Source organism: Homo sapiens, chromosome 17 (assembly GCF_000001405.40).
Source record: "Homo sapiens chromosome 17, GRCh38.p14 Primary Assembly".
Classification (NCBI taxonomy): Eukaryota; Metazoa; Chordata; class Mammalia; order Primates; family Hominidae; genus Homo; species Homo sapiens.
In genome coordinates this window covers 53804064-53826033 of record NC_000017.11, presented here as the reverse complement: position 1 = coordinate 53826033, position 21970 = coordinate 53804064, and the positions used below count along the sequence as shown (strand labels likewise).

Below are 21970 nucleotides of genomic sequence, written 5' to 3'. Positions count from 1 at the left end.
AGGCTCTCATACATGGTTTCAAGGAAAATCCAGCCTCCCAATATGATTAGATCTTAAAAACCATTTGAATCTAAACAGCAATGCAAGAGAAAGATTCATGAGCAGTATCATTAGATTTACTCCATTGTGTACCCCTGGTGTCTTTCCAATCTATTTCCTTTAACTCACAGTGTTTTGCTTTCCCAGCTGGAAATTTAGTGTATCTGCTTTCATCACAGCTGGTTTCTTCTACAGCAGGGTTTCTCTACCTCGATACCATTGATGTTTGCAACAGGGTAGTCACTTGCTGTGAGAAGCTGTCCTGTACACTTCAGGGTCCCCAACCCCTGGGCTGCAGACCGGTAGGTCTGTGGTCTTTTGGGAATCACACTACACAACAGAAGGCAAGCTGGCAGTGAGCGGGCATTACCGCCTGAGCTCCCCCTCTTGTCAGATCAGCAGGAGCATTAGATTCTTACAGGAGCATGAACCCTATTGTGAACTGTGCATGTGAGGGATATAGGTTGTTGCATGCTCCTTAGGAGACTAATGCCTGATGATCTGAAGTGGAACAGTTTCATCCCCAACCCCACCCACGGAACAACTCCCTTCCACAAAACCGGTCTGTGGTGTCAAAAAGGTTGGGGACTGCTGCTGTACACTTTAGAATGCTTAGCAGCATTTCTGGTCCTCAAACTACTGTATGCCAGTATCCTCATCACCCCCAGTTGTGACAATCAAAAATGTTTCCAGACATCGCCAAATGTCCTGGTAGGGGGTGGGGAGGAACCATTCCCTGTTGAAAACTATAGTTCAGCAGGATGAAAACAAACTACAGAAATACAGAGGCAGAAGAAAGAGCATGTTTCCCATCAGTGTATTTTAAGATGTTTTAAGCTTCTCAGGAGGATCTTTAGATAATTTGGACAGTTTTCCTGTATAAGAGTGGTGGAAACTGCAGCAATGCAGCATTTCGGACCTGATCTCTCGCCATTGGCTTCACTCTACCTTGCTCTTCACGTGGAGGTCAGCTAGTAATAATTTCAGTTTCTTTTGGATCTCGGTCAGAGCATCAATTTTCTGCTCCAAAATGGACAAAGACCGGGCAATGCAAAAATCAATATCATGGTGTACTCCACCAGCTCTCTCCTGGATGTTTTCCAGCCATTGGCTAGATCCCTTCCCTGAAATTGTGGTATCCTTCCCTAACAGAGTGGGTAATGTTTCAACCTCTTCAATCTCTTTCTGCTCCTCACTCTGTACATAAGGTATTTTAATAAATTCATCCCTCTGAAGGGACATTTCTGAATTTCCGATGTGACTTTTTAACATCCTTGGTGCCTCATGTCCAATCGGATAGTGGCCACGATGGTAGGGCCTTACATCTACATTTAATTTTTTTACTCTGTTTGCATATCTTAAAGTGTTGAGAGTGTTTTCACAAGAGGTCATCCCCGGAGAGATGGTAGCAATCATGCAAGTGGAGGAGTTCTGGCCTATAAAGGAGTCCCGGAGCACCAGTGTGAGTTTGCTGGCTCTGAATGGGGTGTGAGGCTTGTTCTGACCCAAAGCCAGAATACATTCTTTGAGGGCTAGAAGACTCTTGTTAATCTCTGCCCCTTCCAGCTGCCTTTTCCGGCTGGCCTTGGTTGTATCTGCTCCTCTTTCATTCCCAGCTAAATCAACGAGGGAAAACTTGCCATGCATTATCCGTCCTGACTTCAGGATGATCTGGAACACTGCATGGCTCCTGGATGAGTGAGCGTTGACAGGTGTTTGCCTGGAAGTCCGACAGCTATTCCCTATTTCCACCAGGTTCAGCACTTCCTCCACACAACACACCTCTTTCTCCTGCAGCCCGACCACTTGGATTTGCTGATTGCCATCCTCAAGGACTTGCAGCTTCTTCTTCCAGTTCAACAAATCATACACCTTGCCCCCATAAATCTCAAAAAATGTCCCATAGACTTTGAGGTCCAGCTTCTCATATGTGGAGTTTCTGAGCAGGAGAAAGACATCCTGTGCCACCAGAGCATAAATGCCCTTAGAACAATCTTGGGCCGTTCCTGAAAAGTCTCCACCCATGGTGTACGTCTTCCCACTTCCCGTCTGCCCATAGGCAAAGCAGGTGGCCATGCCCTTGCGGAAGATGGACTCCACCAGTGGCTGGGCGGTGAACTGGTACACCAACTCGTTGGAGGCTTTGTCATCGAAGGCATGGTCGAAGCAGAAGGTCTGGTTCTGCAGGTAGCGAGTGAGGTCCACCTTTTGCTTGGACTCATGCACCATAACCACATTGTCCGAGGGGACGGTGATGATATCCAGGTCCTTTAAGGTTGTCTCTCGCTGGTTGAGAGGCCGCTTCCTCACGCAGACGCAGATGCGATGTTCTTGCGGGGGCTCCAGGACTGAGATCTTGCTGCTGTCCAGGTGCCTGCGATACTCTTCGATCATGTGCATGATTTCGTAGTTGGGGTTTCTGGTATTGACATCGAGGGCGCGTCTAGCTCGGATCTCCTGCTGCAGCCGCCTGCGCTTTTCCCGCTGCTCCTGCAGTTTCTGGATTTCCCAGAGGCAGGGAGACTTTTTCTGCTTCATCAGACAAGGTTTGCTGGGGACCCTCACATCCAGGCTGTCCCCTGAGGCTGTTTGGTTTTTCTGGGGGATCATCGCAACCCATTTCGTGGCGGTACGCTGGTCCCTGATGGCCGAAGAGGGCGCCAGAGCCAAGGGGGATAAGGGCGGGGGCGGCATGGGGTGTTCAGCAGAGTCCAGAGCTGGATTCAGCAGGAGTATGGTCTCCAGGTCAATCTTCTTGCCTTTTTTGACTGCTTTCTCCACCCACTCTACCGTGACCCAATAGTTTTCTCTGTTGATCTCCGTGACCACAGCGAGGTGGATCCGCTTGTCACTGCGCTGGATCGCCACGTAGATGCCCTCTTGGATGTCTCCGAAATGTGGCTTCAAGGGTTTCAGGGGCGAGAGACATGGGGATTCAGGGAGGCAGAACTGGCTGGCCATGGTGAGTGATGGAGGTATCAGGGAGCGCTCCAGGGCCCTTGGGGTTGGAGCAGCAGGACCCAAGCCAGCCTGAAGCGCCCGGAGCACTGAGCAGGGTTGCAGTCTGTGCCTGCCTTTGTGAGCCTAGCGCGCCGGGGCCCGGACTGGGGCCACTACGTCACAAAGGGATGAGATGAGGCGGCAGAACCTAGGGCTTAGGAGTGAATGGTACGGGAGCACAAAGGGATGGAGAGATTGTTCTCTGCCAGTGAGGGTGAAGGGGTTGGAGGAGGATGTGGCGTGCTCTCCGGATCATGGCGAGAAAGAACAGGTAACAGAGAAGCAACGGGAACCATGGCGTTGAAATTTAATTTATATGTCCCGTGTACATTTATGCCTAAGCATAAAAGGAGGCCTTGGCTGGCAGTCTCAAAGCTCAGTGCTTTAATTTGAGAATTGCTATGAAGTTTCCTTAAACTTTAACTCTCCAGTGATCAGTGGGAATAGATGAAGGTAGAGCTATTTGCAAATCTCAGGACTCGATATTCAACAGGATCCCAGAAAGGCTCCTCAAACCCGCCATCTTTGTTTTTTCACCTCCTTCAAAACGTGTAACTTGTTTAAGAGTCACAACTTAAAGTTATTACAGTTTAATCGGCTTTCTCATTACAAAATCAAAATGAGTAGAATGTAGCAGGTCGTTGTGGTAATTTGCTAATATGAAACTACCTTTCGTACAGCACCTGGGTTTGCAAACACAACATGTGTATCACATTCCAAGTGGCTCTGACAGCTATAAAGTGAGTTTTGTTGTGCTGTGGTCACCACCATTTTTGAGATTAGTTCAGTAATTACCTTTCCAAACTCCTTCAGTAATTACACTTCTGGCCTCATTATCCATAATTGGGAGAGAAAGAAAAGGCATTGTGTGGAAAGAGATAATTAATCTTATACTCCCCCCACCCCTGCAGTACTTGTGTGTGTCCTTTAGAAGTTGTTAAGCAAGGCTGGAAGGCAGCTAAGACCATCGGATGCAAAAATATATTTTGCCAAGATTGCAATATTTTCATGCATAAGAATTAGCTTATAAAATAAATGACATTGACTTTTAGACAGGCCAAGCTCAGAGTAAGGGTGATGCCTTACGTTCAGCTCACTAGCAACACCCGTGCATGTTGTCTTTTGGACTGTTGAATTTTATCATAATTATAGCTCCAAAGTAACATGAAGTAGCAAGTTACAACCTTCCCTAGGAATAAGGGCCTCTATAGAAATAAATTCTACTATAAACTAACTTTTCTGTTCAGTCAGTCTAGTAAAGCTTAGATTTTGAAAAGAAGGTGGAAGGAGGATACTGGATAAATTAGATAAGTAAGCAGTGCTCATTTCAAGAGGAGGTTGTATGCAGGTGGAGGGAGAGGAGAAAGGGCTTTAGGCAATTGTCTTCTAAAAAATATCATGTTTTATTTCCCCAAATTATCAATACTTAAAGTTGTGCTTTAAATCAGTTGTTCTTTCTTGGTTTCAAGGCCATGATGTAGATATTCTTAATACACTGTATTTGTCATTAGCACTCTGTCATTCAAGTTGGAGTACAGTGGCCTGATCATAGCTCACTGCCACCTCATACTCCTAGGTTAAAGCCATCCTACCATCTCAGCTTCCTGAGTAGCTGGAATTACAGGCATGTGTCAGGATGCTTTGCTATTTTCTTTCTTTGTTTCTTTCTTTTTTTTTTTTTTCTTTTTTTTTTTTTTGCTAGGGATGAGGTCTCGCTGTGTTGCACAGAGACTGGTCTCAAACTCCTGACCTCAAGGGAGTCTCCCTTCTCACCCTCCCAAAGTGATAGAAATATAGGCTTGAGCCACTGAGCCCACATAATAGTTTGTTTTGCTTTGTTTTTTTAACCGTTACCTTTGAAAAAGCTGGGTCTCTCTCAAAATTATGAAAACTCTAGACCCTCCAGGCTAGCCATAGGGTTTTCATCTTAGCTAGTAATGTTTTAGACAGACAATGGATGAGCAGATCCATGATAATAGTGCCAAAATCAGAGAGAAAAGTTTCCTTTTACTCCCTCTTTCTCTCCAACATGTTCATACAGGTTTTCATAGCAATTTCAGGACTTTTTTTCAGTTCTTTTCTCTTTTATATAGTTTCCCTAGTATATTGCATTTGTTCCTACAGTTTAATTTTATATAAAGCTGGCTAGATAGATTGTTGATAACCAGAATTATGAGTCCTAAACTTGTAGTCACCTGCAGGAACTAAAAAGTTAACAAATCCAAAACTGATTCTGTTATTTTCTTACTGAAAATGGCAGGTCTTTGTTATTTTTAATTGCTTTTAGTAACTTCAACATTTACTCATCTTTAAAATCCTGACACAGATCTTTGTGTTCTTCCCCTTTCAGCCCATCCTAACTTAGGTAGTCCTTTCCCAGTCTCTAGAAGTCTTCCATAACCATGATATCATTTAATCTCCCAACCAATTATGAGCTTGTTTTCTTTTTTCTTTTTTTTTTTTTTTTTGCAACCTCATCCAGTCAGGGACTTAGTCTATTTCTCACACTGCTCCTAGAGTTATTTTAACAGGTTCTTCCTTATTAATTCACTGCTTTTAAGCATTTGTTAGCTCCTCATCATCCTAATGATATGGTATAAATTCCATATGAAGACTTAAGGCACATCATCATCTTGCCTGCTTTGTCATCCTCAAGATTTCCCACTATCCATACTTAATCTAAAATTGAGCCATGTGGAAGAAATTGCAGCCCTTCAAACACACCATTTTCTTTCAAATTTCAAATTGCTAGTCCGGTGGTTCTCAATATTAAGATATGTGAAAATCAACTGCAGGGCTTGTTAAAACACAGGCTACTAGGCTCCATGCCAGAGTTGTTGATTCAGTAAGTCTGAAGTGGGGCTGAAAATTCTCATGTTTAACAAGTTCCCAGGCAATGTTGGTGCTGCTGGGTGCAGGGACAACATTTTGAGAATTACTAGTACAGCCCTCTGACAATAATCCTTCCTTGTCTTCATGGTTTTCCTGAGCTCTTCAATACCTACCTCAAACATCACTACCCTGGACAGGTTTCTCTGACCTTCTTGACAATAGCCAGGCAAAATAGCATTAGATAAAGACACCCCTTCTGAAGAAATGGTGTCTATTACTGGTCGAATTTGGCTAGTCAAGGGAACCCAAAGCCTAATTTTTAGTAGTACATTAAAAAAAATTCTCATTGGTGAAAAATAACAGTAACCTGTTTATAGAGAGCTGATTGGGTGCTTTTACAATTCCAATAGTCTGGAACTTCTTTGGAGCAATCCCTTTTTATATTTGCTGATATAAAATTCACAATTCAGAAACCATCTGCCTAACTCTCTCATTTAATGGAATTTATTCTGCCAGACTAGTCCATCTTAAAACCAAAAACCACTGTGAACCTTGAGTAATGAGATAAATACAGCATTTGTCAAAACAAGAAGGCCCTAGATGCAAGATATCAGCCTTGGCCATGCCCTGAATAGCTTTTGGTAGATGAGCAGTTTCTCCAGATTAGAGACCAAAGCCACCCCTATATTTTTAACTGAATAGAACCAAGCAGTACATGCTCACTTTGTGCTATTTCTTATGTCAAAGAAATCCTTCAAGGAACTTACCATTTACACATTTTGTTCTGTGAACCTACTAAAAAAGCTCATGCCTTGACAAACCGTTGAGTGATAGATTCTCTTTATTTTAAGTCTCCTTTTTTCAAAAGCCTAATAAGTGTCAGGTGTAGCCCCACAAGAGTGGGTAGGGTGGGTGGAAGTAAGCGCAGGAAATGAGCTTTGTAATTTTCATTTATTAATTACAGATATATTCCCAGTTTGGGGCTTGTCAAAGTTGATTTATACAAGAGAATGTGATTTCTAGTCTCATTTTAGATACAGATCTCCCAGGAGATATGCATCACATACGTGCCTTTCTAACACTGTTTTAACAGACATCTAGCAGCTGTTGGACCTGTCTGATCACCCTGGGGGGCTGTACTTTTCCAGTATGGGGATACAAACTGAGGTTGATTTAGTTATTCAGAGGAGTTCAATAGATTTTCCCAAATCTCTTTGAAGAAATGAAATGCATCATTTTCATTTATAAAGTTATTTTTTAAAGAGGAGAGAGGTATCTTACTAAGTTTATGCCTTTTTTAAAAAGAGGAAATTAACTTTTAGAATGAGAGTGGTATTTCACCATTACAGCTAGTGTCTCTGTCTCCTAACATTTCTACATTTTCCCAATGCTCTACCCTTAACCTATCCAGATAAGTCCATACTTCTCCAAACCTCACATTGATTTAATAGGCAAGAATTGTTTCTATGACAACAGTATTAACTCAGAGCCATCTTTCCCCTGCTTATTAAATGGGGTTGTCTACCTGGAGATATCTATAAGATTTCTATATATTTTTTAATTGTGGATATTCATCTATAAAGTTAGCCAAGATAACAAAGCTAAAAATTGTCCCTCTGTCACTTTAAATCCATTTGTGTTGACCATCTTTTAGCTTTCAACTCTATTTAGCATGCTGAGTGGAGAGGCTGGGTTTCACTTCCATTTTATGTTAGTGTTGTTTGCTTGTAATTCACACTAAAGCTAGGAGTTCAGTGTTCAAGCTAGTGTTGTTTGCTTCTAATTCACACTAAAGCTATAGCTCTTTAACTTGGAAGATGTGCTATATTTCTCATCTTCAAAGAATGTTCTTCAGATGATACGATTCAGAATATTTAATATAATTTGATATTGGAATAAATATGAAAAGTGATATAAAATACTTGTATTTGAGAAATGGTTGGAGGAATTTGGATATTTGTCCTAGAGAGTTTGAGAGACAGATCTTTCTATATACACTTACATGGCTACCTTATAGAAGAGGAATATAATTTGTTGTATTTGATTTAAGGTGTGTTGACATTCAAAAATTCAAGCGCTAGGCCCTCAAGACTCAACTCATCATCATTTTTCTTAGAAAGTACTCACAGATATTCATAGCTCCCTTTCCTCTACCTCAATCACAGATTAGTTAGTTTCCTTTATCTCAACTCCCACATTTATTCCATATTTTTGACATTGCACTTACGAATGTGTGTGAAAAGAATCTGCATCTTTCCAGGTTAAAAAAAAATAAGCTTTGAGAGAAGCAAAGAGGATAACTTATTCATAGTTGTATTCCTTCTATCTGTCATGCAGACATTAAATATCCTAAAACTATAAAAACTAGCTTAATAATAGATGGATGTTTCCAACTTCAGATCAAACTAATAAGAACTTCAATCTAGTGTGCATTCAGTGAACCTTAATAACTATCTCCTAAATATAAAGGTCTATACTAAGTGGTAGATTATGTAGTAGTACAGAAAACAGTCCTAACTTCTACCTTCACGGAGCCTACAGCATCATTTTTGGAAACAGATACTGACAGATATAGATATAGATAGATATAGATACACACACATATATTCACACACACTTATACACACACATGCACATACATACATACAGATAGATACAGATATATAGATGTCATTCTAATAACTACAACAGTTTTTGAGAGTCAGGGTTCTATCCCATGTATATTAAAACAGAAACTAAATGACAGCTTGTAGGGAAAGGTAGTGCAGAACACATTTCCATATCAGACCCAGGAGTTGGGCTAGATTTGAATTCTCAAACCAGGCTACATATCAAAATCACCTGGGAAGCTTTTACAAAGTACAGATTGCCTGGCTCCACTCAGACCTACTGAATTAATCTCCAGGGGCCAGAACCTGGGAATCCATTTTGCTAAAATCACACCCCAGGTTATTCTTATGTTACTGTGAAGCCTGAAAGCATAGGGCTGGACGCCCTCTAGGTCTCTTTCTACTCAGAGATTTTATGATCCTGTGGTTCCGTGAATAAAAAGATGATCCTTTGATACACCTGTGGCCTTTGAAATTTATTTTATTTTCATAAGCTGAACGTTTAAAGATACTCCTGATTTCACAAATGAGACACAATGCAGTTTTACTGGGAAAGCTACTTTTAGGTTTCTGAAGAAGATTTGCTACAAAATATAACATTTGGTATTATTGTCTAACAACATAGAGTAAAATTGCGTAAAATCAAGACCTCATGTCATTAAAGATGTGCAAGCATGAGAGCGTACCATTTATATTTCCTATGGTGCTTCAGGATATCATTTTGCACATAGTAGATATTTAATAAATGTTTGCTATACCAAATATTGGATAGCTTCAGATATGATATTTCAGACTGCTCATCTTTTTGGCTGGTCTTGCCTGTTTGTTAAGTGTAGAAGATGAAAGTTATACCAAGAATAAAAACCCTTAACTTTATGTCTCAGTGTGATCTCTATAGGTAATGTTATAAGTGCTGTTTATCATTGTCAGAGCCTGATACCTGCCTGTCTTGAGAAACATATATTTACCATTTTGCAATAACTTTTAAATTCTTACCTGGAAACAGAAAGCAAGAAGACTAAAGTTCTAAGAAATAGGACATGATATCAAAATAACCAGTCGATCCTGGGAAAAAGAAAATCCATTAAATGGTTGATTTAACGGAAATAACAAGTTGACTATTTTTATTTCAACTACACGTACCTAGTGTTGTGCAAGCTGCTAGGATTAAGGAATTATTGAAAAAACACCAGATATAACCATTTAGTGTTAGTGAATAAATATTTGGTTTGGTGAATACATGATATTGCTGAAATAGCAAACTCTGGGTAAAGATATATACTAAAATCAGCATTTAGCAATTGCTTGTTAAGTAAACGAGTGAATGGATAAATAAATATATAATAAGATGGTTGTCAAACCTCAACAAACATGGATTTTTCAGTCAGACTGAATGAAAAATGCAATTCAAATTATTTTTTAAATGTACTTTAAAAAATCTCCAATGGCTTCTCATTTCACTGCTTAAACACTCAACTTACCTTCATGACATCCAAGACCTTGCATAATTCACTCTTGCCAGTCCTCCCTATTATTTAGTATCACTCTTCTCCCTTTTTAAAAAACATATTTCAGTCACACCAGTCATCTCTCAGTTCTTTGATGCACCCAGCTATTTCCTGACTCAGGGTTTTCACATACCCTGCTTTTCTTGGGACTGGCTCCTTGTCATTCTGGTCTTTCATTTAATAGCTGTGTGCTTTCGTCACTTCTTGGGTTTGAATCTTGATCCCACTGTTTCCTAGTTCTGTGACCTTGAATAAGTTATTCAATCTCTCTGAGCTTCATGGTTTCTTTTTAAATATATAAAAGCTACCAGTCATATCCACCTCATAAGGATGCTATAAGGAATGTGTACAAAATTGATGGAAAATGCTTAGAACAGTGTGTTACACAGAGTAAGCACGTAGTACATGTTGCTTATTATTTTCATACTTTATAATTACTACATTTATTTGCTTATTTTGGGGGGTGGGGGGGATACAGTCTCACTCTGTCGCCCAGGCTGGAATGCAGCGGCAGCATCTCAGCCCACTGCAACCTCCACCTCCTGGGTTCAAGCAATTCTCCTGCCTCAGTCTCTGGAGTAGCTGGGATTACATGCCCGCACCACCATGCCCAGCTAATTTTTGTATTTTTAGTAGAGATGGGGTTTCACCATATTGGCCAGGTTGGTCTTGAACTCCTGACCTCATGATCCACCCACCTCTGTCTCCCAAAGTGCTGGGATTACAGGCATGAGCCACCGTGCCCGGCCTTTTTTATTTTCTAATCTGTTTCTCTGAATAGACTGTCTCTGCAAAGAGAGAAGAGGACCACCATGCCACACACCTTTAATATAAAGAGCACCAGACCCAGAGTAAGGACACGTAGGTTTGTCAGCTCAGGAATTGATTCTTACTTTACCTTGAAGAAGCGGCATCATGTGTTTTCTGAAATTCCATTTTCTCATCTGCAAAAAGAAAAAAAAGAGACCAAATCTTCCATTTTTTCTCTGGTTTTTAAATAAGGATGAGTCTAATTTGCAAACTATTAAGTACCATTTCAAAGGTAATATGATTATTTCAACTTTGTAAAAGATTCTTGAAAATGCGGTTTTGGCTGGGCCCAGTGGCTCACGCCTGTGATCCCAGCACTTTGGGAGGCCGAGGTGGGCGGATCACCTGAGGTTGCGAGTTCAAGACCAGCCTGACCAACAAGGGGAAACCCCTTGTCTACTATAAATAGATAATAAATAAAATAAAAATTAGCTGGACGTGGTGGTGGGCACCTGTAATCCCAGCTACTCAGGAGGCTGAGGCAGGAGAATTGCTTGAACCTGGGAGGCGGAAGTTGCGGTGAGCCGAGATCACACCATATACACTCACAAGTTTAAAGGATATGTGGAGGATGAATTTATGGTGTGATGAGATAAAGCCCTTCTAAAAAGAAATAATTTGGCTCTCACTCTGGATTTTGGTCTCTTTTTCCATTTTTATTTCTCCAATGTAAGAGTGATGGACTTCTTTATAAGGTATTTAATTCTCTAATCTGAATAAAAACTTTTGTATCCAAAATTGAATTTTTATCCAGATTTGATTGAGTATGGATGTATGTGACTGTATACAATCAACTATTTTTGTAGTTTTCTTTTATTTTCCTTAGCACGATAAATGGTCAAAACAATTGGAGAATCATAATAAATGACTTGTTAAATATTTCCAGGAAGTTCTGATTTTTATTTCATTGAAAATTTATCTTCTGGGAAAGAGAATATTAGAAGGTGGGAAATTATGTTGAATGGCAGGAAGTTGTCCTAGAATATATCTGTATTGTAATTGGGACCTTTGATCGGGGCCTTGCTTCCTATTTCATCAGCCATTGGACATAATATTTTATAAAACAAAACTATCCCAAGTAAGATGAGAGAAAACATTCTCACTTTTATCGGGCATTACCCTGAGTTATAATTATCAGTCTCCTTAATTACATGGATAGATTTTTATCAAGCCAATAAAAATTATTCATTATAATCACTTAGCAAAAACTGTAAGTACTATATTATCTATTTGATAATTTAATGGGGTATAATCAATCTTTGTGAGAAAAATTTTTAAATATTACCCAGAGAAAAACTGAATTTAACATTACTCCTACTAATTTTTAATTATGCACCGATCTTATTAATGGAGATTACAGAATTTAGTATTAATTTCAATCTGTGAGCTGATAACACTATAAAAGTTCGGTACATGTGTAACTATATCTCTGTTGTTGACAAAGTACTTATATATACCACATAATTTTTGATCCTCTAGCAACCTATTTAAGTTAAACAGGGTAGATATTATTTATCACATCTTATTAATAAGAAAGCTGGAACTTAGATAAAACCTTTATGGATTGGCCTTTCTGAAAGTTATTTGAATTGAGATAAGGGCACAGATATAGAGAGTAAGTTTAGGATTTTTTTCCAGCAAATCACAGAATACAATTAAAAAACCTACAAGGATTGTAGTTCCCAAATATGAGCCTTAGGGAATTTACTAACTCTCTTATTCTCAGATGTTTTATTTTGTTTTGTTTTGTTTTTTGGTATGTAAATGTGGGTGGTAGCATTGTGGTGAGGACAGTGAAAGATGATGTTACACACAGGTATGTATGTATGTATGTATTTATGTTCCTGTAGGTTTGTATGTTCTGAAGGACACATAATGATTGCTATTTCTCATAATAGAATCACAAAATTTTAGATTTGAGAGGACGTAATGATTAAAAATTTTCTTTGCTTTATCCTGATTTTTGAATATTCTTCAGACAAATAGCCAGTCAGACTTTTGGGATTTAACTGAAAACAGATGGGTTTTGAGACCCTGCCCCGCCAGTGGAACTAAAGAGCTATCATGTATTTAACAGTCATTGAGCACTTATTATATGCCAGGCACCACACTAGACATACCATTAATGTTATAATTTTGCATGTTGCATGCACTTTTCCCTGAAAAAGTGTTTATGTAAAATATATTAAAATTCATGTAGATATAAATTTAAAACTAGGTATCTGGTTGGGAAATGTGTGTACATATAAAGGACAATGACCAGATCTGTTACTTTAGTGATTAGTTTGAAAGATTCCTATGATAAGAACTTTTCTTAGGCTGGGAGAATGATGACCATTTTAATTTACATCTGTATTTGGTAAAATGTTGAGTGGTGAAACTAGGACCAGGATTTACATTATAGTAGCTTTGGAAAGGCGAAAAGAACCAGAACCACAGAGAGAGGAAGAGTAAGAGAGAGAGAGAGAGAGAAAGAGAGAGACATCTACTAGGTTGCTGCAAAAGTAATTGCAGTTTTTTGCTGTATATATATATATATATATATATACACACACATACACACACACATATATAAATATATACAAAATATATATATACACATAGAAATCTATATGTATATATCCTGAGACTTTGCTGAAGTTGCTTATCAGCTTAAGGAGATTTTGGGCTGAGACAGTGGGGTTTTCTAGATATACAATCTTGTCGTCTGCAAACAGGGACAATTTGACTTCCTCTTTTCCTAATTGAATACCCTTTATTTGCTTCTCCTGCCTAATTGCCCTGGCCAGAACTTCCAACACTATGTTGAATAGGAGTGGTGAGAGAGGGCATCCCTGTCTTGTGCCAGTTTTCAAAGGGAATGCTTCCAGTTTTTGCCCATTCAGTATGATATTGGCTGTGGATTTGTCATAGATAGCTCTTATTATTTTGAGATACGTCCCATCAATACCTAATTTCTTGAGAGTTTTTATCATGAAGGGTTGTTGAATTTTGTCAAAGGCCTTTTCTGCACCTATTGAGATAATCATGTGGTTTTTGTCTTTGGTTCTGTTTATATGCTGGATTACATTTATTGATTTGCATATATTGAACCAGCCTTGCATCCCAGGGATGTAGCCCACTTGATCATGGTGGATAAGCTTTTTGATGTGCTGCTGGATTCGGTTTGCCAGTATTTTATTGAGGATTTTTGCATCAATGTTCATCAAGGATATTGGTCTACAATTCTCTTTTTTGGTTGTGTCTCTGCCCGGCTTTGGTATCAGGATGATGCTGGCCTCATAAAATGAGTTAGGGAGGATTCCCTCTTTTTCTATTGATTGGAATAGTTTCAGAAGGAATGGTACCAGTTCCTCCTTGTACCGCTGGTAGAATTCGGCTGTGAATCCATCTGGTCCTGGACTCTTTTTGGTTGGTAAGCTATTGATTATTGCCACAATTTCAGCTCCTGTTATTGGTCTATTCAGAGATTCAACTTCTTCCTGGTTTAGTCTTGGGAGAGTGTATGTGTCGAGCAATTCATCCATTTCTTCTAGATTTTCTAGTTTATTTGCATAGAGGAGTTTGTAGTATTCTCTGATGGTAGTTTGTATTTCTGTGGGATCAGTGGTGATATCCCCTTTATCATTTTTTATTGCATCTATTTGAGTCTTCTCTCTTTTTTTCTTTATTAGTCTTGTTAGCGGTCTATCAATTTTGTTGATCCTTTCAAAAAACCAGCTCCTGGATTCATTGATTTTTTGAAGGGTTTTTTGTGTCTCTATTTCCTTCAGTTCTGCTCTGATTTTAGTTATTTCTTGCCTTCTGCTAGCTTTTGAATGTGTTTGCTCATGCTTTTCTAGTTCTTTTAATTGTGATGTTAGGGTGTCAATTTTGGATCTTTCCTGCTTTCTCTTGTGGGCATTTAGTGCTATAAATTTCCCTCTACACACTGCTTTGAATGTGTCCCAGAGATTCTGGTATGTTGTGTCTTTGTTCTCGTTGGTTTCAAAGAACATCTTTATTTCTGCCTTCATTTCGTTATGTACCCAGTAGTCATTCAGGAGCAGGTTGTTCAGTTTCCATGTAGTTGAGTGGTTTTGAGTGAGTTTCTTAATCCTGAGTTCTAGTTTGATTGCACTGTGGTCTGAGAGACAGTTTGTTATAATTTCCGATCTTTTACATTTGCTGAGGACAGCTTTCAATGTACAAAAATCACAAGCATTCTTATACACCAATAACAGACAAACAGAGAGCCAAATCATGAGTGAACTCCCATTCAAAGAGTATAAAATACTTAGGAATCCAACTTACAAGGGATGTGAAGGACCTCTTCAAAGAGAACTACAAACCACTGCTCAAGGAAATAAAAGAGGATACAAACAAATGGAAGAACATTCCATGGCTCATGGGTAGGAAGAATCAATATCATGAAAATGGCCATACTGCCCAAGGTAATTTATAGATTCAATGCCATCCCCATCAAGCTACCAATGACTTTCTTCACAGAATTGGAAAAAACTACTTTAACGTTCATATGGAACCGAAAAAGAGTCCGCAGCGCCAAGTCAATCCTAAGCCAAAAGAACAAAGCTGGTGGCATCACGCTACCTGACTTCAAACTCAACTACAAGGCTACAGTAACCAAAACAGCATGGTACTGGTACCAAAACAGAGATATAGATCAATGGAACAGAACAGAGCCTTCAGAAATGACGCCACATATCTACAACTATCTGATCTTTGACAAACCTGAGAAAAACAAGCAATGGGGAAAGGATTCCCTATTTAATAAATGGTGCTGGGAAAACTGGCTAGCCATATGTAGAAAGCTGAAACTGGATCCCTTCCCTACACCTTATACAAAAATTAATTCAAGATGGATTAAAGACTTAAACGTTAGACCTAAAACCATAAAAACCCTAGAAGAAAACCTAGGCATTACCTTTCAGGACATAGGCATGGGCAAGGACTTCATGTCTAAAACACCAAAAGCAATGGCAACAAAAGCCAAAATTGACAAATGGGATCTAATTAAACTAAAGAGCTTCTGCACAGCAAAAGAAACTACCATCAGAGTGAACAGGTAACCTACAAAATGGGAGAAAATTTTCACAACCTACTCATCTGACAAAGGGCTAATATCCAGAATCTACAATGAACTCAAACAAATTTACAAGAAAAAAAACAAACAACCCCATCAAAAAGTGGGCAAAGGATATGAACAGACACTTCTCAAAAGAAGACATTTATGCAGCCAAAAGACCCATGGAAAAAATGCTCATCATCACTGGCCATCAGAGAAATGCAAATCAAAACCACAATGAGATACCATCTCACACCAGTTAGAATGGTGATCATCAAAAAGTCAGGAAACAACAGGTGCTGGAGAGGATGTGGAGAAATAGGAACACTTTTACACTGTTGGTGGGACTGTAAACTAGTTCAACCATTGTGGAAGTCAGTGTGGCGATTCCTCAGGGATCTAGAACTAGAAATACCATTTGACCCAGCCGTACCATTACTGGGTATATACCCAAAGGACTATAAATCATGCTGCTATAAAGACACATGCACACATATGTTTATTGTGGCACTATTCACAATAGCAAAGACTTGGAACCAACCCGAATGTCCAACAATGATAGACTGGATTAAGAAAATGTGGCACATATACACCATGGAATACTATGCAGCCATAAAAAATGATGAGTTCATGTCTTTGTAGGGACATGGATGAAATTGGAAACCATCATTCTCAGCAAAGTATCGCAAGGACAAAAAAACAAACACTGCGTGTTCTCACTCATAGATGGGAATTGAACAATGAGAACACATGGACACTGGAAGGGGAACATCACACTCTGGGGACTGTTGTGGGGTGGGGGAGGGGGGAGGGATAGCATTAGGAGATATACCTAATGCTAAATGACGAGTTAATGGGTGCAGCACACCAGCATGGCACATGTATACATATGTAACTAACCTGCACATTGTGCACATGTACCCTAAAACTTAAAGTATAATAATAATTTTTAAAAAAATTGTACATAAAAGTCATTTCCTGAACATAAGTCAAAAGTCTCAATAATAAAAGGTTTTTCTAAAAAAAAAAAAGAAATGCATATGTATATATATGTACATATATACACATACATTTTATAAACATTTGTATATATAAAGATATATATGCACATTTTTTTTAGATGGAGTCTCGCTCTGTTGCCCAGGCTGGGGTGCAGTGATATGATCTCAGCTCTCTGCCATCTCCACCTCCCGGGTTCAAGTGATTTCCCTGCCTCAGCCTCCTGAGTAGCTGGGATTACAGATGCATGCCACCACGGCCAGCTAATTTTGTATTTTTAGTAGAGACAAGGTTTTGCCATGTTGGCCAGGGTGGTCTTGAACTCCTGACCTCAGGTGATCTACCTGCCTCAGCCTCCCAAGGTGCTGGGATTACAAGCGTGAGCCACTGTGCCTGGCCTATAGACATATATTTTATATAGAATTGCATATATACCATATATACATATATAGTACACATACATATGTATACACATAATGTATCTATTTAATTCATAATATATCTATTAAAGTCTTAAAACAATTTTAAAACCCTTTGAGACATTAATATCTTCATTTAATTTTCAAATATTTAAAGAAATTTGAGGCTCAGAGACAATAATTCTTCACTGTTGCAATTTAAGCTTACAATCTTTTTTTGAACAAAAATATGGCTGGGATTTGAGCTTCATAGAATTTAAAACCCATGTGTTTTTTTACTACACCATACTGTTTCCAGTTTGTAGCCTAAATGTTGTTATGAAAGAAGCTTCTGGTATGAAAAGAAATAGAAGAAAATAGAATATAGTAAACCCTGAGAAGATAAAAAGATTAGAGCAGAATGATATTTTACTGGGACCTCATAACTGTTCAAAACTGTCTGCCTTTTTTTTTTTTTTTTTTTTTTTTGCGACGGAGTCTCGCTTTGTCCCCAGGCTGGAGTGCAGTGGAGGATCTTGGCTCACTGCAAGCTCCGCCTCTGGGTTCACGCCGTTCTCTTGCCTCAGCCTCCCGAGTAGCTGGGACTACAGGCGCCTGCCACCACGCCTGGCTAATTTTTTATATTTTTAGTAGAGACGGGGATTCACTGTGTTACCCAGGATGTTCTCCATCTCCTGACCTCATGATCCACCCGCCTTGGCCTCCCAAAGTGCTGGGATTACAGGCGTGAGCCACTGTGCCTGGCCCGGCAACTGGCATTTTTAATCTGCAGACAAGAAACATAATCTATACCTAGATTTGGGCTGTTTCACTTTATGTTACATAGTCCTGACATGGTATTTGATGTGGCAACATGCTTTGCTCCATCCATTTCATGTACACTGGATGGATGCTCGTGGTTTTCAGCCTTTCCTTGCTTGTAGCTAATGTGTTTTTATGTATACTCTCACAGAGTATACTAAAGTCTCTGAGCAAAACACTGCTAAAGAACTCATGCATAAGTACTAGAAGTGTGTTCTCCAACTGGGGAACTGTTTCACTCATCTGAAAGAAAATTAACCTTCTCAGAGTGCAGCCAGCTCTCATTCTGAAGTTTGAAGTGTGACTCCATGCGGAACCAAGGTTGCAGGAGCTCCTCTATTCTTGCCTGGATTTTGATTTTTCTCCCTTCCGAATTTGTAAACAAAACCTTCTCTCTAGGCTTGAAAATTCTTACAGTGAATCTCTGGCCAAAAGAAAATGATTCTTCCAAAATGTGGAGAAAAATTGGCCAGATTTGAGAGTGTTTTGGATTGAAAGTGACAACCGTGTGCCAATATCACAAAGAACGTACACATTGCCTCTGCTTACACTCGTTTGTGCATAAATTACAGCTAATGGGGCTACACTCAATGCTGTGCCGAAAAAGTAATGCACAGTCTCTGGCATTTTGTGTAAGAGACTAGTTGCTCACTTTGTGGTGGCTGTATTTTATACCTAAGAAGTTCTCTTCACGTTTTGCAATTTATCTACAATATTTTTCATGTCAAAACACACCACTATCTTGAAGCCATTCGATAGCATCACTAATAATAGTTCTTTGTTTCTTACAACAAAAGTTCAAGACACTATTTAATAAGATTTCATGAACTGGTTGATTCTATAGCAAGGTTTAAAGACAGAATGGTTTCACTTTTGACACTCAGTCTTTTCACTAATAAGAAAAAAAAAACATTAAAAGACATCAGGTAAAACATTAAAAGACATCTGAAAACAAATTTTATAAAACAAACAAAATGATTCTGTCATGTTTTTGTGTTATATTTGTATAGATTTCTTTAATTTACAAGCCCATTTACATGTATTAGCTCTTGTTTAATAATTTGAATTAATCAAAAACTTTTGAGTATTTGCTTTTTAGTAATCATTGAGCTAGGCATATGTAATCTTCAATATAATTGTGTGAGGCAGGCTGTATTATTTTTGGTTTTGAGAAGAGGAAAATGAAGCATAGAGAAATTAAATTATATGACCAAGGTTACATGCAGTTAATCATGTTAGAAACATTGCTCAAAGCTCTTTTATTTCCAAATCTAGTATCCCTTTTGTGACATTTTGCCTCTATTATGTAACAAGAGATAACTCACTTAGGAATTAATGTCAGTCTTATCTACACTCAAATTATTTAATAACACTGTAGAAAACAGTCTGTCCTGAGTAGATCTAAGAATTTCCCAAAATGAGCTATTTGAAAAATTTCCAAATTATTCCTAACTGCTATATATTGAGCAATAAAAGAAATTGCTTTCTTGTATTTTTCCCTTTTGTGTTTGTGTACCTGCTCACAAAAATCATCTCATACATAATGCAAGGTAATAAACTACATCTTGTAATGGCTACAAAGCTTTGCCCATGTGGAAATAGAACTGGAAATCCATTACTAGTGATGCACCCTTCAAATGCAATTCAAGTTTGACAAACATTAAACAATTTGGGCAGGTACTTGCAACCAATGTTTCCTCTGAGCACTTTTTAGGTGTCTCATCATCATGTTATTATTCTAAAACGCCAGGAAGAGTTAATAATTTCCTTCAGGTAAATCACTATGGGTTGAAATGCCACACAGGAGTAACCATTGCCCATTTTCTTCTGGGAAAGATTATATGAGCTCCCTATTCACAAGTTGTTTTCTTTTGAAAAGATAGTTCTCTTAAAATTTCATTTTCTCTCTGTGGCTTCTAAAATATGTTGCTATTTGATCATAATCTCAAATAAAATTGGTGTTTTCCTAATAGAATAAGCACATTCTCGTTCACTTATAAAAAAGTTAATATAATTGATTAGTGGCTCTGTTTCCTTTTCTATATGAAACAAAATAATTTCTAGTTCTCAATGGATTAAAATAAATTCCCTTTACCAAAAAAAGCATTTCACCCAGCTAAATAAATAATCCTGCTTACATAGACTGGTTTCATTCTCAAGAAGCATTCATTAGACGTGTCTAAATATACCTGTTTTTGAGGTATTTTCTTGCTTTTTTTAGAAGGGAAGAGGTTCTGAGACTCTCTTGTTTATTTCTTAGGAAAAAAAACTTTATAATTTACAATTTTTTTGTCTTTAAAATGCACAATGAAAGACATTCGTTTTTGGCACTGCATTGTTATCCCCTTGAGCTGAAAAAGTTTTGATCTTTATACAGGGCAGAAGTAGGGAGATTCAAGCAAAGAATTTAAGCACAATAAAATATGATCTTAGAAACATCCACCTCTTATCCACTTTACTTCGTTTGGTGAAAAGAAATTTTCTCTCTCTTTCAGGACTTTTTTTGTTATGTAAAAATTATCCAAGAGTAGAGAGAATAGAGTAATTTACTCAGTGCTCATCACTCAAAACTTATTTCATTTATACTCCTCCCTACTCCTGACTCTCCTCAGAATACTTTGAAGCACGTCTCTTTCCATTCTTAAATATTTCAGTATATATTTATATAAGATAGCAATTGTATTTGGAAACCATAACCATAATACCATTAACCTAGCAATTAGTACTTCCTAACATTATCAGAAAGGTAATTATTGTTCAAGTCTCCCTGATAGTTTGTAAAATGTCATTTTGCATTTGATTTGTTCAACTTATGATCCAGCCAAAGCCTACACATTACAGTTCTCTGAGATTTCTGTAAATATCTTTCAATCTGTATGTTACTCCTTCATCATTTTTTAAAATTTTTATTTATTTATTTTTTTTAACAATTTGTAGAAGAAAATTATTTATTGCTCTGTGGTATTCTTCGCATTCTAGATGTTGCCAGTTGCTTCCTTGTAACGTTTCTTGACGTCTTCCCCTACTTCTTTTATTTTCTATAAATTGATAGTTTGACAAAAAATAGTTTAGAATACTTCATAGGTTGGCTTGCACACTTCTTACTTGTTCACATCATGGGCACGTCATGACTCGTGTGTCTCTTTTTTTACATGATGTTGTAGATCATATTATTATTTAACAAAGAATCTCTTTTTCCATTGAATGCTTCCCTTTCCCCAGACTTCATGAGAGAAGTATAGCTCCCAACTACATGGGTATTGAACTTAGCAATTTGGCTTGCTGTGGCTTATAGAACGTGAATGTAGATGACATAGATCACATCGGTGCCAAGACTACAAATGCGTTTGCATTGTCTGGCTTAGCTTCTAGAATTCTTGCCTTCTGCCATGACAATCATGTGTTTCAAATAGTAACTGCTTCTTTTTTCTTGGGATACAGATTGTGAAGACAGAATAAGTCAACCTGAAAGCAAACCACAGTTTGGAACCAAGCCAAGCTTAGCATCAGTTGACCCACAGATCCAATTTTTTCATAATCAAGAAATAAATGTGTGTGTGTACATGCTATTGAGTTTTGAAATTACTTTTTGACCAACATCATTGCAGTAAAAGCTTAGTGATATAAATATTAATATTGATCAATGGAGTGGGGTGTTATCAGATTGCTCTGCCCTCTTTTAACTTAATAGTTTTGGCAACCATTGATGATTATTGCCTAGATCCTTTACCTCATTATGGGATGCAATGTGGTGATAGTCTAAGTCTATCATTTCTCACTCATATATTAATCCCAGAAGAGTACCTGAGAAGGAAACTTGGGTGTGGTTTTGTAAACCAAAAATAAAATTCTGAAGTCCCCCAACCATCTGAATGGAATTCCTCCTCA

General features: G+C 38.3%; 1 protein-coding gene and 1 long non-coding RNA gene across 2 annotated transcripts; one reads left to right on the top strand and one right to left on the bottom strand.

Annotated features, from left to right (window-relative positions):
- Positions 1 to 840: 840 nt before the first annotated feature.
- On the bottom strand, positions 841 to 3107 carry KIF2B (kinesin family member 2B). Its single transcript, NM_032559.5, has one exon. The coding sequence runs from the start codon at positions 2998 to 3000 to the stop codon at positions 979 to 981; it is 2022 nt and encodes a 673-aa protein (NP_115948.4). The 5' UTR covers positions 3001 to 3107; the 3' UTR covers positions 841 to 978.
- LOC124904030 (uncharacterized) lies at positions 3108 to 21651 on the top strand. The gene is made up of 2 exons (XR_007065851.1): positions 3108 to 3310; positions 21524 to 21651. It is a non-coding gene; the product is annotated as an uncharacterized LOC124904030 (long non-coding RNA).
- Positions 21652 to 21970: the final 319 nt, after the last annotated feature.